General features: G+C 47.7%; 1 protein-coding gene and 2 pseudogenes across 22 annotated transcripts in view, besides 1 other annotated feature; 1 reads left to right on the top strand and 2 right to left on the bottom strand.

Moving 5' to 3' along the window:
• SLC28A1 (solute carrier family 28 member 1) overlaps nucleotides 1–13,840 on the top strand; it is a 90,988-nt gene that overhangs the window by 41,494 nt on the left and 35,654 nt on the right. For 15 of the 22 annotated variants that reach the window (NM_001321722.2, NM_001321721.2, XM_011522204.4 and 12 more), the window contains 3 exons: nucleotides 6,990–7,120; nucleotides 8,871–9,039; nucleotides 9,166–9,363. The exons of 3 other annotated variants lie outside the window; for them this stretch is intronic. In NM_001321722.2, the coding sequence (NP_001308651.1) occupies nucleotides 6,990–7,120; nucleotides 8,871–9,039; nucleotides 9,166–9,363 (498 nt within the window). Of the gene's footprint in view, nucleotides 1–384; nucleotides 621–3,141; nucleotides 3,161–6,989; nucleotides 7,121–8,870; nucleotides 9,040–9,165; nucleotides 9,364–11,151; nucleotides 11,448–13,840 lie in introns of those variants that run through there. 4 more of the 22 variants (XM_011522214.3, XR_931945.3, XM_047433322.1 and 1 more) reach the window with 4 other exon arrangements.
• Nucleotides 1,912–1,971: an enhancer, noted in NCBI's record as "active region_9995". NCBI's record gives its function as "activates an Ori minimal core promoter by ATAC-STARR-seq in GM12878 lymphoblastoid cells {active_cell/tissue: GM12878}" and the evidence as "EXISTENCE:reporter gene assay evidence [ECO:0000049][PMID:35858748]".
• Nucleotides 12,261–12,367, bottom strand: RNU6-339P (RNA, U6 small nuclear 339, pseudogene; annotated as a pseudogene).
• RNU6-796P (RNA, U6 small nuclear 796, pseudogene) lies at nucleotides 13,462–13,568 on the bottom strand (annotated as a pseudogene).

Raw genomic sequence — 13,840 nt, forward strand, 5'->3', positions numbered from 1 at the left:
AAAATATTTATTTTTTGTTTTTTAACTCCCCACATGACACCAACATGTATTTATATAGAGAGAGACAGAGTTTCCCTCTGTTACTCAAGCTGGAGCACAGTGGTGCAATTACAGCTCACCATAGCCTCAAACTCCTGGACTCAAGCAATTCTCCCACCTCAGCCTCCTGAGTAGCTGGGACTACATACGTGCGCCACCACCCCTGGCTATTTTTTTTTTTTTTTTTTGGTAGAGACGGGATCTTGCTATGTTGCTCAGGCTGGTCTTGAACTCCTGGGCTCAAGCAATCCTCCTGCCTTGGCCTCCCAAAATATTAGGATTACAGGCATGAGCCATTGCATCCAGCTTCAATCACTTTAAAAATATTCTTTCCCTTTGATCCAGCTAGAAAAATTGTGATATAGGGATATTCTCACAAGTGTTCAAGAAATGCAAAATTCCAACATTTGCAAAAGCAAGAAAACTGGACAGCCTAAATGCCCAGCAGTACAGTCATAAGCTGGGTAAGTTGCCCCACACAAGGTGGTAGCATTCAGCATGAGAGTGAGGTGGCCTGTATGTGCTGATTTGGAGATTGACCCTGCCCTGCCTTCTGGCTCTCTGCCCCTGCCCCAGGCTCTCTGGATGCTGTGTGGGGGGTGGGGGGAGGGGGGGGGTGGTGGTAGGCGGTGACCAGAAAATGACCTACATTGTCCCCTTCTTTAATCCCAAATTCCACCTGTCTCTCTCATCTCTGTCCCTGGGGATGATGAGAGATGGGTGAACAAACAGCCAGCCTGCCCCTCCATCTCTCCTTCACTCCGGATGCCTGGACCACACCAATAAGCTCAGCTCTACATGCCACAGAGCTGTCTGGGCAGGGCCAGCTGTTGCGTGACTTTTCAAGAAGTCCCCTTGGGCTCAGGGGCTTTGGTTTCTGGCCTGGTACCCTCCCATCTAGAATTCTAGAGACTGTCATCTGGTTTGCACCTGTCTTGCTGAGGCCTAGAAAAGGGCTCATTAAAACTGGTGCACCCACCCACCCCACCACCAATTGTTTTTGGAAGTGTGGAGGCCAAGGGAAAATTTCCCCTACGTCCTCTGAAGGTTCACTGAAAAATCAGCTCACAAAAGGGAGATTAACAGGAGAAAGGCACACAAATTTATTTAATGCATACACACGGGGGCCTTCAGAAGGAAGACCCAAAGATACAGGGAAAATTGTCCATTTTTACGCTCAGGTTCAACAAAGTATGGATAGCCACATAGAAATAGAATTGGACAAACAGAGTGTGATCTAATACTAATCGACTGAGTGGAGGAAAAACAGCAAAGCCTGTCTGTGTAGACTCTTCTTGGGCTCTCTGAGCATTTTTTCCTTCTGGGTATGGGGCAAGATCCTCTCTGGAAGGGGGGGTCTTATGACCTACACTCAAACAAAGTAGGTCAGATAATTTCTTTATTGCCACTTTTTACCCAGAAAGGCAGAGGGAAGTTAAAGCAATGTTTTTAGGCTTTATGGCTGGCTTTGGGGAAAAGGGCTTCTGGTCTCCGTGCCCTGCCTTGGAGAAGGGGAATTCTAGTTTTTATGGCTAGCCTTGAAGGAGAATTGGACTGATAAATGGGAGGGCAGGACAGAAAAACTTCTTCTGAGGCTACTTCTGAGCCCTTTATTCTAGGTTTTGTTTTAAGAGTCCCAGCAGAAGGAATTTGATATTTCAAAAATGGAAACCCAAAACTTTGTTCCTGAAACTTTTTTTCATGGCAGGATATTGGGGGAGGGGGATGCCATAATATTTTCAGAACTTAGGGCTTTAAATGTCTTAACCTTGTTCTGGTCCCCTTAGACAACGAAAAGAATAACGCTGGTGTTCCTCCTAGTCATTACTTAGAACTTAAACACTGGAAGAATGCTCGCCCATTTCCACAATCTGGCTTAAAACTCAGCCCTCTTTTCTTCCCTTTCTCAGGCAAAAGTCCAGGCCCAGCCCTGGGCAGTCTGGCTTCCCCATTGACAGGGCCTGGGTACCCACTTCCCTTTAGCTGCACAGAATGGGCAGAGGCAGCCAGGATCATCCCTAGGTGCCCTTGAGCCTCCATTTTACAGTCTCTGGTTTGAAAGCCCCAGACTACAACTATAGCTGGCCCAGAGGAAAAGCACCTAACAAACAAACCTTCCTTCCCTTCAATCTCTGGGTCTGCCCCAGTCTTTTCTCCAGAGCAGCTCTCTTTTGCCCCCACCTGGCTCATGACAGTCACTGCACCAGCCCTGTACTGCACGCCCTCTAACTTCCTTCCCCAGTCAGTTCCTCAGTATCTTTGGCTCTGCCCTCAGCCTCTGAATCCCAGAAAGGTCTCTCTTGCCCTTTCCTTCAAGCTCCCAGGTTCGTTCGTTCTTTCTTTCTTTCTTTCTTTCTTTCTTTCTTTCTTTCTTTCTTTCTTTCTTTCTTTCTTTCTTTCTTTCTTTCTTTTCTTTCTTTCTTTTCTTTCTTTCTTTCTTTTTTTTTGAGACAGAGTCTCCCTCTGTCGCCCAGGCTGGAGTGCAGTGGCTCAATCTCGGCTCACTACAACCTCCACCTCCCAGGTTCAAGCAATTCTCCTGCCTCAGCCTCCCAAGTAGCTGGGATTACAGGCATGCGCCACCAACCCAGCTAATTTGTGTATTTTTAGTAGAGACAGGGTTTCACCATGTTGGCCAGGCTGGCCTTGAACTCCTCACCTCAGGTGATCCACCCGCCTCGGCCTCCCAAACTGCTGGGATTACAGGCATGAGCCACTGCGCCCAGCCTCCAAGCTCCCAGATTCTTAAAACCACTTTGTTGCTCAATCTCTGGCTCCCTTCTCCGCACATCCCTCCTATTGCTAATATCTGGATATTTCTAGATCTCCACGGTCCAGTACAGTAGCCACCAAACACACATAGCTATTGAGCACTTGAAATGAGGCTAGTCGTATTGAAAAACTTTTAAGATGTTTTATTAATTTTAAATTTTTATTTTGTCATCCATATTGATAGTTTTATATTGATTACATGGGTGGAAAGAAAATATTTTGGATATATTGAGTTAAATAAGACATTATTAAAATTAATTTAACCTATTTCTTTTTCCTTTTTAAAATGTGGCTATGGCCGGGCGCGGTGGCTCACACCTGTAATTCCAGCACTTTGGGAGGCCGAGGCGGGTGGATCACCTGAGGTCAGGAGTTCAAGACCAGCCTGGGCAACATGGAGAAACCCTGTCTCTACAAAAATACAAAAATTAGCCAGGTATGATGTCAGGTGCCTGTAACCCCAGCTACTCAGGAGTCTGAGGTGGGAGAATTGCTTGAACCCGGGAGGCAGAGGTTGCAGTGAGCCGAGATCGCCCCATTGCACTCCAGCCTGAGCAACACAGCAAGACTCTGTTTCAAAAAAAAAAAAAAAAATGTGGCTTCTAGGCTGGGTGCAGTGGCTCATGCCTGTCATTTCAGTACTTTGGGAGGCCAAGGCAGGAGGATGGCTGAGACCAGGAGCTTGAGACCAGCATGGGCAACATAGGGAGACCCCTATCTCCACAAAAAATTTAAAAAATAAAAAATTACTTGGGCATGGTGGCACACATCTATAGTCCCAGGTACTGGGGAGGCTGAAGTGGGAGGATCACTTGAGCCCAGGAGGTCAAGGCTATAGTGAGCCATGATCATGCCATTACACTCCAGCCTGGGTGACAGAGCGAGACCCTTTGGGTCAGAGAGAGAAGGGTTATGGGCAGGCGTGGGCCCTGGGATGCTAGGATGGAAGGCTCTCCTGACCAGGTGCCTGGGAGGCAGGGCTGGGGAATGTCACAGCCCTGCAGAGTAGCTGGCAGTGGGGAGGTGGGTGTGGGCTGGCCCAGTGCCCAGGGAGCCCTGCCTGTGCAGGACTCAGCCCTTTCCATGATGAGCTGGAAACTAGCAACTGCAGCATTTGAGGCTGTGACCACAACTGGGTCACCCAGGGGACAGTGTGCAGGAATGTGACAACTGCAGGGTGTGTTCTCTGCCGTGACTCAGGTTTACAAACCAGATGTAATCTACAAGTCAGAGGAAGGGTCAGGGTCCTGCCTGGTGGAGGGAAAATCCCAAGATTCCAGGTGTGGCACCATCCCAGCTGGGGCTGAGCAACTGAGGAGGAAGCAGGGGAAGTCCCAAAGCCCAGCCCAGAAAGTCCAGAGAGGACACCTGCCCCAAGTGGGTTTCATCCAGCAAGGGGCAGGGGCCCAGGCTTGCACACCCAGTGTCCACACAGGGCCCTGGGGAGGTATCAGGCTGCTGCCAATTCTTGTTCACATTTTAAGAAGTTTTGTCGATCTTTAAAAAGAAACAACTGGGGTTTAGAAAAAGAAGAAGGACACAATACCTGGGATTCAGAGCCTGAGAGGGTCTCCAGCCTGGCTTCTCAGCAGCAGGCCTGGCACTTCCCTGAGATGGTAATGAGGGGTGCCCACGATCTGCCCTCTGCTTTTTTTTTTTTTTTTTTTTTGAGATGGAGTCTCACTCTGTCGCCCGGGCTGGAGTGCTCAGCTCACTGCAACCTCTGCCTCCTGGGTTCTACCCATTCTCGTGCCTCAGCCTCCCAAATAGCTAGGATTACAGGCACCCACCACCACACCAGGCTAATTTTTGTTTTTTTTTGAGATGGAGTCTCGCACTATTGCCTGGGCTGGAGTGCAATAGTGCGATCTCGGCTCATTGCAACCTCCGCCTCCTGGGTTTAAGTGATTCTCCTGCCTCAGCCTCCCGAGTAGCTGGGATTACAGGCACACACCACCACACCCGGATAATTTTTCTCTATTTTTATTAGAGATGGGGGTTTCACTAAGTTGGCCAGACTGGTCTCGAACTCCTGACCTTGTGATCCTCCCACCTCGGCCTCCCAAAGTGCTAGGATAACAGGTGTGAGCCCCACGCCCGGCCTAATTTTTGTATTCTTAGTAGAGATGGGGTTTCACCATGTTGGCTAGGCTGGTCTCAAACTCCTGACCTCAAGTGATCTGCCCGCCTTGGCCTCCCAAAATGCTGGGATTACAGGCGTGAGCCACTGTGCCTGGCCTGCCCTCTGCTTTTATCAGCCTGAGTGTCTGTCTTCAACTTACCTCCCTCCTCCTTTTTATTTTTATTTAACACTTTAGAATGCAGTTGGCTTATTACAAACTTTAAGAAGAAACATCTATTTTGCTTTTTGTTTATTAAAAAAAATATTGTTGTGGACATTTTGAGAGATACCAAAACACCTGTAATCCCAGCACTTTGGGAGGCCAAGGCAGGCAGATCACAAGGTCAGGAGATTGAGACCATCCTGGCTAACACAGTGAAACCCCGTCTTTACTGAAAATACAAAAAAAAAAAATTAGCTGGGCGTGGTGGTGGGCGCCTGTAGTCCCAGCTACTTGGGAGGCTGAGGCAGGAGAATGGTGTGAACCTGGGAGGTAGAGTTTGCAGTGAGCCAAGATGGCGCCACTACACTCCAGACTGGGCGACAGAGTGAGACTCCATCTCAAAAAAAAAAAAAAAAAAAAAAAAAATGAAAGAAAAGAAAGATACCAAAATGCAGAAAGAAAAGAAAATCGGCCGGGGATGGTGGCTCATGCCTGTAATCCCAGCACTTTGGGAGGCCCAGGTGGGCAGATCACGAGGTCAGGAGTTCGAGACTAGCCTGGCCAACACGGTGAAACGCCATCTCTACTAAAAATACAAAAATTAGCCGGGCGTGGTGGTGCACACCTGTAACCCCAGCTACTCTGGAGGCTGAGGGAGGAGAATTGCTTAAACCCAGGAGGCGGAGGTTACAGTGAGCCAAGATTGTACCGCTGCACTCCAGCCTGGGCAACAGAGCAAGACTCTGTCTTGGAAAAAAAAATAAAGCAAGAAAGAAAATCACCCCTGGCCCCAGCAGCCAGGGACAGTCAATTCATTGCCATTTTGGTGTATTTCTTTCTAATCTTTTCATGCGCCATTTTGGAGTTTGTTTCCCCACTGCCCCTAGTTTTGGTTCTTCTCTACCTGCAATGTTGTGGGCCCTTTCCCACTTCACTGTGAGGCCTTGATGACCATCATTTTCAATGACAGCCTGACGACGCTTAGCCGGTCTCCCATTGTTAGATGTCTGAGTTGGTTCTGATTTCCCTGCTTGGTAAATGACACAGTGATAGGGGGAAACGTGTCATATTTCTCTGTGGAAAAGAACAGAGAAGCAAAGGGTTTGGGGTCCCAGTGAAGATAAAACTTCAGGAAGGGAGAATCCCAGGGGCTGACATTGCTCTGCCATCTTGCTGGGAGTGGTTTTCACAGCGTGGCTCCCAGAAGGAGACTGAGGGTCAAACGGTGGCTGTCATAGAGGCAGATTTCCTGAGAAGGAGTTCTCAAACTGCAGGACTGGATGTGATGGGTTGGCTTGCAGTGGTGAGTTCCCCGTCACAGTAAGCATTCAAAGAGAGAGCCTAGAGAGGGAGTACCTTCCTACGCTAGTACATACCTACACTAAGGTGGAATTGGTTTAGCTCTTAAATCCATTTCATTTCAACTCTTAGGTTCTAGAGCTTTGTCTGAAAGCATTACAAATTCCTCCACTAAGGGGGAAACCTCAGCTAACGGGGATTAGTGGTCAACAGTGACAGCCTAAAAAGGAAGAAAGAACCTTGAACTTGGAGCCAAAAGATGTGATAGGCTCTAATTCCTTCTCTTCCTTTATTTTGGGAAGCCATATTTAATCCTTTGGAGTCTCAGTTTTCTTGTCTGTAAAATGAAGATAACAATATTTGTCATTCCTAACTTAGGGAGCACCAGGAAGAAATAGAAGGTCCTATACATATAGCCTGTGACCTTCTACACATAAAAGGTATTATTATTATTAGTGATGACAGCAGTTATGACAATGAGGACATATCAGTGGGACAGACTACACATGTGCCCTTGCTGCCCTGGGCCGCACTCCTTGGTCGCCAGCATTTCTTCTGACTGTCCACCTAGAACCTGCACTCTCACTCTTGCAGATCGATGCCACCTCGTTGATTGCAGCCTCTGTGATGGCTGCCCCTTGTGCCTTGGCCCTCTCCAAGCTGGTCTACCCGGAGGTGGAGGAGTCCAAGTTTAGGAGGGAGGAAGGAGTGAAACTGACCTATGGGTGAGCACAGCAGGAGGTCCTGCAGACAGGGTAGTGGTACAAGGTGGGGGGAGCAAAGCAGAGGGTCCCGTTCTCTCTGTCCATCACTGTCTTCCACTAGCCTGGGCCCATCTCTCCACTTTTCCTGCTCTGGTTTGGGCTTCATTTGCTGTCTTAGTCCATTTTCTGTTGCTTATAACAGAAATCCTGAAACTGGGTACTTTATAAAGAATAAGAATTTATTTCTTACAGTTATGGAGGCTGAGAAGTCCAAGGTCGAGGGGTTGTATCTGGCGAGAGCCTTCTTGCTGCTGGGGATTCTGCAGAGTCCCAAGTTGGCACAGGGCATCACATGGCGAGGGGTTGAGGGGTGCCAGGCAGGGAACTGAGCATGCTAGCTCAGATCTCTCTTCTTCTTCTTAAGAAGCCACCAGTCAAGTCCAGGTGCGATGGTTCATGCCTGTAATCCCAGCACTTTGGGAGGCTGAGGCAGGCAAATCACTTAAGGTCAGGAGTTCAAGACCAGCCTGGCCAACATGGTGAAACCCCATCTCTATTTAAAATACAAAAGTTAGCCAGGCATAAAGGCTCACGCCTGTAATTCCAGCAACTTAGGGGGCTGAGGCACGAGAATTGCTTGAATCCGGGAGGTGGAGGTTGCAGTAAGCCTAGATCGCACCACTGTACTCCAGCCTGGGCAACAGAGCGAAACTCCGTCTCAAAAACAAAACAAAAAGCCACCAGTCCTACTCCCATGATAACCCATTATCCCATTAATCCAACATTCAGGAATGGATTCATCCATTCAGGAGGGCAGAGCCCTCATGACCCAATCACCTCTTAAAGGCCCCACCTGTCAATACTGCCACATTGAGGATTAAGTTTCAAAATGAGTTTCCGAAGGACAAACATTCAGACCATAGCATTTGCAAAAATGCGCACTCCAGTTCTCACATCTTAATGTCCAGTCTCTGACCAGCAGGAAACAATGGACCAGGCAAGGCTTGGGAGTGTGGCCTGGTTCTTGGTCTGTGGCCTGGTGTGTGTACATGTTGAGGAGGGTCATAGAAAGGCCCCATGCCCCCATCTCTATGTGCCTGAGCTCTGACTGCCAGGGTGTCAACCACACATTGACATGCTGAGTGCCATCTTTGATTTCACTCACCTCCTAACATCCCGTCATAGTCTTAATAACTGTTAGGTAACTTTTAAACCTTAAACAATGTTGAAAAGGCACCACATTGGACACATGTGCTTGGGCACAGCGGATGACCCCAACCTCACAACTTTCTGAGGCACTGGAGCAGCGCTGTCCCATGGAAATGTAATGTGAGGCGCCTGTCATTTTCTAGTAGTTGTCTTTTAAAAAGTGAAAAGAAATGGGTGATTTTAATAACCGATTTTACTTAACCCTGTATACCCCAAAGTATTGTCATTTCAACATGTAACCAGTATAATAATTATTGAGGTATTTTGCATTTTTTGGTACTAAATCCTCAGAATCTGCTCTGTATTTTGTACAACACAACTCAATTCAGACAGCCTCCTGTCATGTGTGGCTGATGGCTTCCATCTTGGACAGTTCAGCGTTAGAAACCTGGATCTTATCCCGGTGCTTTGACCAGCCCCTTTTTCTCTCTGGGTCTCAGGGAAAATTAGGATTTCCCGCTCTGAAATGCTCTTCCAGGGTTCCTATTTGAGCCTATAGGATAGGGACCCTTGCTGGTTGTGGAGACAGGCCAGTAATGATCATTCTTGATCCCAACAACAGAGATGCTCAGAACCTCATAGAAGCAGCCAGCACTGGGGCCGCCATCTCCGTGAAGGTGGTCGCCAACATCGCTGCCAACCTGATTGCGTTCCTGGCTGTGCTGGACTTTATCAATGCTGCCCTCTCCTGGCTGGGAGACATGGTGGACATCCAAGGGCTCAGCTTCCAGGTGCGTTTCTGGCCACCACACTCAGTCTGTAGAGAGGATGGCCCCAGGTGGGTGGTGAGTGGTGGCTGGAGACCTAGCAGAGCCCAGGCCCAGCCCTCGGTGCCAGCCATACCGTTGTGCCCTCAGCTCATCTGCTCCTACATCCTGCGGCCTGTAGCCTTCTTGATGGGTGTGGCGTGGGAGGACTGCCCAGTGGTAGCTGAGCTGCTGGGGATCAAGCTGTTTCTGAACGAGTTTGTGGCCTATCAAGACCTCTCCAAGTACAAGCAACGCCGCCTGGCAGGGGCCGAGGAGTGGGTCGGCGACAGGAAGCAGTGGATCTCCGTGAGTGTCCCAGTCCCTTCCCTGCAGCAGGGGGATGACACGGCACAGCCACTCCTCAGGGCCCCTGGCAGCTGCTCTCCCGCTCCCTGGGCCTGGCTGAGACACACTGAAGTGGTGCTTCACCTCCTACATCCTGTAGTCCTGGGAGACAGGACAGCTTCAGGCTTCGCTGCCATCTTTCTCAAGGCCTTTTAGGAGGCTGAGGTGCGGGGAGAGAGCATTGTTTGGGATGTCTGAAAGCTGGCTCTAGATGGGTCGTTTTTCACTGTGGCCTTAGGCCAGCCACAGTACCTTGCCTCTTCTGTTGGAAAACGGGGTGAGATGACTGCCACATCTACTCCAAAGGCATACACATGTGCACCCAATGAGCTGGGAGAGTGAGATAAGGAGGCTTCACTAACACCCTCACTGTTTTGTTTTGGTTTGGTTTTTGTTTTTTTTTTTTTTTTTTTTTGAGACGGAGTCTCACTCTGTCGCCCAGGCTGGAGTGCAGTGGCTCGATCTCGGCTCACTGCAAGCTCCGCCTCCCGGGTTCACGCCATTCTCCTGCCTCAGCCTCTCCAAGTAGCTGGGACTACAGGCGCCCACCACCGCGCCCGGCTAATTTTTTGTATTTTTAGTAGAGACGGGGTTTCATCGTGGTCTTGATCTCCTGACCTCGTGATCTGCCCACCTCGGCCTCCCAAAGTGCTGGGATTACAAGCGTGAGCCACTGCGCCCGGCTGTTTTGGTTTGGTTTGGTTTGGTTTGGTTTTCTGAGATGGAGTCTCCCTCTGTCACCCAGGCTGGAGTGCAGTGGCACATTCTTAGCTCACTGCAACTTCCACCTCCCGGGTTCGAGTGATTCTCGTGTCTCAGCCTCCCAAGTAGCTGGGACTACAGATGCCTGCCACCACGCTCAGCTAATTTTTGGATTTTTAGTAGAGACGGGGTTCACCATGTTGGCCAGTCTGGTCTTGAAATCCTGACCTCAAATAATCCACCCGCCTTGGCCTCCCAAAGTGCTGGGATTACAGGTGTGAGCCACCATACCCGGCCATCACCTTCACTGTTAGTATAGTGGATTCAGTGCAGGGGTTGGCTCTTTCTGTTAAAATTTATTTTTAAAAACTATAAAAGTTCTATAAAATTAACCTTTCTAAAAGAATAGTAACATTATTGAGAATGAAAAAATTACCTACAATCTCACCATCCCAGATAATAGTTATTGTTGTTTCTTACATTTTCTTCCATTCTTTTAAGAGAGAGTTTAGGTCAGGTGCAATGGCTCATGCCTGTATTCCCAGCACTTTGGGAGGTCAAGGTGGGAGGATCACTTGAGGCCAGGAGTTCAAGACTAGCCTGGGCAACATAATGAGCCCCTGTCTTTACTAAAAATTTTAAAAATTGCGGGGTGCAGTGGTGCATGCCTGTAGTCCCAGCTACTTGGGAGGCTGAGGCAGGAAGATGGCTTGAGCCCAGGAGTTTGAGGCTGTAGTGAGCTAGGATTGCATCACTGCACTCCAGCCTGGGCAACAGAGCAAGACCCTGTCTTTAAAAAAAAAAAAAGGGAAAGCAAGAGAGAGTTTACATAGTTTCTGTCGTAGCAGCCAAACCGTGCTGTAGCCATTTTTGTTTTTTTGTTTTTTTTTTTACTTAGTATTACAACATAAGCATCATTTTGTATATGTGTCCTAACATATTTACCCAATCCCCTGCTGTTGGGCCATTCAGACAATTCTATTATTTGATTTTTATCCACATGTTGAAATGAGTATCTTTGTGCATATAGCTCTTCCTTCCTCTCAGATCATTTCTGCAGCGTTCCCAGGTGTGGGCTGACTGACTCCCACATGAGTCTTCACGTGGCTGCAGCAGCTGAAATCAGCAGCACCAGCTGTGCCTGCGAGCATTTATTTCGCCACACAACTAAACAGCATCGGGTAGCTTCTTTTTAAAAACAAGGTTCACTACTTCAATAAGCAAATAATAGCTCATTGTTTTCATTTGCATTACTTGGGTGACTGGAAACTTTCAATGGGAAGCCCTTTCTCTTGTCTTTTTAATTATGTTTTAAATTGTAAAGGAAGGGACTCTAGGTTTTTTAAAAAAGAAAGTTTGTGGCCAGGCACGGTGGCTCACACCTGTAATCCCAGCACTTTGGGAGGCTGAGGTGGGTGGATCACTTGAGGTCAGGAGTTTGAGACCAGCCTGACCAACATAGCGAAACCCCTTCTCTACTAAAAATACAAAAATCAGTGGTTGTGTTGGAATGTGTCTGTAGTCCCAGTCCTTGTGCTGAGGCACGAGAATTTCTTGAACCTGGGAGGAGGAGGTTACAGTGAGACAAGATTGTGCCACTGCACTCCAGCTTGGGCAACAGAGTGAGACTCTGTCTCAAAAAACAAAACAAAACAAAAAACCAGGCATGGTGGCTCACACCTGTAATCCCAGCACTTTTGGAGGCAGAGACTGGAGGATCACCTGAGGTCAGGAGTTTGAGACCAACCTGACCAACATGGAGAAACCCCGTCTCTACTAAAACTACAAAAATTAGCCAGGTGTGGTGGCAGGCGCATGTAATCCCAGCTACTCAGGAGGCTGGGGCAAGAGACTCTCTTGAACCCAGGAGGGGGAGGTTGCAGTGAGCCAAGATTACACCATTGTACTCCAGCCTGGGCAACAAGAGTGAAACTCCATCTCAAAAAAAAAAAAAAAAGGTTTCTATAGAGTAAAAAGCACAAGTTTCCCCTCACTGCTTACTGTCACCTCTGGTCTCACCCCCTCCTCAGAGATTAATAGAGGGCACGCCCCTTCCTGTTCTTTTTTTTTCTTATTTATTTTGAATTTCTGTGAGTACATAGTAGGTGTATAGATTTATGGGGTACATGAGGTGTTTAGATGCAGGCACACAGTGTAAAAATATAGAATGCTTCATGAATTTGCACATCATCCTTGCACAGGGGCCGTGCTAATCTTCTCCGTATCGTTCTGATTTTAGTATGTATGCTGCCGAAGCAAGCACTTCATGATCTTTTTTTAATGAACTTCATTCCTTCAGCAAGTATTTGTTGAGACCATTTAGGTGCCAGGCATTCTGCTAGGCACTGGGGATAAAAAGGAGAATTACACAGACATGGCTCTGGTCTCATGGAACCGACATGTAGTGAGAGACACAGGCAAAACACAAGAAAGCAAAGGAACAAAAATTAAAATAACCACAATTCGTGGTAAGTTCTATGAAGAAAACAACAAGAAAAAAAAAAACAGGGCAGGGTCTTCCTTGGCTGGACTGGTCAGAAAAAATATCCCTGAGGTGTGGCATTTAAGCCAAGACTTGGAGAACGGATGAGCTAGGACAAGCTGGGAAAAACATTCCAAAGGAAGAGGCATGTGCAAAGGCCCTGAGGTTGAAAAGCACTTGGTGTGCTTAGAGAGCAGAGGCAATGGATACAGCTAGAGCAGGTGGTAATCACAGGCCAAGGAACAGTTGGAAATCACTGAAGATTTGACATTTTGAATTTTAAGAAGATGACTGGAGGCTGGGTGTGGTGGCTCATACCTGTAACCCCAGCACTTTGGGAGGCTAAGGCAGGAGGCTCACTTAAGACCAGGAGTTCAAGACCAGCCCTGGAAACAAAGCAAGACCCTGGCTTTACAAAAAATTTAAAAATTAGCCAGGTGTAGTGGTGCACGCCTGTGGTCTCAGCTACTTGGGACACTGAGGCAGGAGGATCGCTTGGACCCAGGAGACTGGGGCTGCAGTGAGCTATGATTTTGCCACTGCACTCTAGCCTAGGTGACAGAGTGAGACCCTGTCTGAAAACAAAAGACAGAGAGAAGGAAGCAAGAAAGGAAAGAAGGAAGGGACAGAGGGAGGGAGGGAAAAAGACAGCGAGACCGAAGGAAGGGAGGGAGCCTGGGGCTGCTCTGTGGAACACAACTGTAGGTGGGCAAGCAGAGATGCAGGTACCTTCATATTTTTTCCAATAATATTTGTATCAATGCTTTATGTTATAAAGGCATTAACTTTTTTCTGATATATTTTCTACATATACTTTTCCTAGCCTTTTCTGTTATTGCCCTTTATGTTGTATAAGGAAATTTATTTTTTGGTTTTTAAATGTAGAACGCTTCATGAATTTGTGCGTCATCCTCAGGTAGGGGCCATGCTAATCTTCTTTGTATCATTGAAGTTTTAATATATGTGCACAAGAAGCAAGCACAGGAATGTGTTTTTTTTTTAATTAAAAAAATTGTATTTACTTAGAAGCATTCAGAATGTCAACAAAACAGCTGTAACTTTTGAGTGGTATATATGTATGTATTTATTTATTTATTTTTGGAGACTGGGTCTCACTTTGTCACCCAGGCTGGAGTGCAGTGGTGCAATCACAGCTCACTGTAGCCTCTGCCTCCTAGGCTCAAGTGATCCTCCTGCCTCAGCCCCTGTGTAGCTGGGATTACAGACGTGTGCCACCACACCTGGCTAACTAAC

Source organism: Homo sapiens, chromosome 15 (genome assembly GCF_000001405.40).
Source record: "Homo sapiens chromosome 15, GRCh38.p14 Primary Assembly".
NCBI classification, from domain to species: domain Eukaryota; kingdom Metazoa; phylum Chordata; class Mammalia; order Primates; family Hominidae; genus Homo; species Homo sapiens.